The 1,065-nt window shown below is 63.9% G+C and overlaps 1 annotated feature.

The window, feature by feature from the left end:
- Nucleotides 1-50: a silencer, noted in NCBI's record as "silent region_19608". NCBI's record gives its function as "represses an Ori minimal core promoter by ATAC-STARR-seq in GM12878 lymphoblastoid cells {active_cell/tissue: GM12878}" and the evidence as "EXISTENCE:reporter gene assay evidence [ECO:0000049][PMID:35858748]".

Here is a 1,065-nt window from a genome sequence, read left to right as displayed (position 1 = left end):
CTCCTGGAGGTCTGAGTATGAGCGCCCTCTGGTGGCCACCGGAGAGCCGGGTGCCGGGGCTCCTGCACAGGGAAAATCCGCCTTCGCCCAGGCCAGTGCCGCTCATGGCCCCATCTGTGCCCTTTTCCACTCCACTCTGGACAGGTGGCCTGAGGCCTGCCAAGCGCCCAGGGCAGGGTGTGCGAAGGCACCTGGGCATGGGAGTCGGGCAGAGAGCAGAGGGGTAGGAGTGCCTAGGCCGCAGGCCCACCCATCCCCACTTCCGTATGGGGAAACTAAGGCTGGGCAAGGGAAAGTGACTCCTGCCACTTCACGGCAGGCTGGCTGCAGGAATCCTCATCCAGGGCCCAGGGAACGGGAGTGCTCTGTGTCCAGTGCAGCCTGGAGGCAGGCGGGAATGCCACCTCCCCTACCACTCCCACCCCTGAAAGGCAGGAAACGGGGGCTGTGGCCACCAAACTCCAGGAATGAAGGAAGAGGGAGTTCTGCTGGTGGGTCAGGGAAGACTGCAAAGCAGCAGCAGGTACAGGGACAACGAAGGCAGCATGGATGAGGCTGCGTGCGGGCCCTGGGCAAAGGCCCAGGAGTGGGAGCGAACCTGCAGGATCCAGAGAGGGCTAGGCTGCCCATGTGGCTGCAATGGGGCCTGGGAGCTGGCAGGACTCCAGACCAAGCCCAAGGACAGTCACAGCTCATAGCCCATCACTGCCCTCTGCCCTGTGCCTCCAGGGGTCCCTAGCTCAGTCTCCCAGCCTCCAGGCTGCTTCTCTGTGACCCTGCTGGACAGCTCCTCAACTGTCCTGGACACAACCTGACCCCAGCCCCAGCCCCAGCCAAGACTCTGTCAGGCATCTTCAGTCCCACACAGGGCCTGCAACCTTGTAGGTGTGGACAGCGCAGCTGGCCAGAGGGGGCCGACAGCCCTGCCCCCATGTCCTGAGTGCCCCTGAAGGAGGAGCTCCCTCTGCCAGAGCCCAAGCTCAGAACTTGCAGGGAGATGCTTAGGCATAGGATTGAGTGGTGGGGCCCCAAGGCACAGCCACTGAGGTTTGGCCAGCACCCAGG

Source organism: Homo sapiens, chromosome 8 (genome assembly GCF_000001405.40).
Source record: "Homo sapiens chromosome 8, GRCh38.p14 Primary Assembly".
Lineage (NCBI taxonomy): Eukaryota > Metazoa > Chordata > Mammalia > Primates > Hominidae > Homo > Homo sapiens.
Note: the sequence above shows the minus strand (reverse complement) of the source record. Positions and strands in the feature narration are given on the sequence as shown.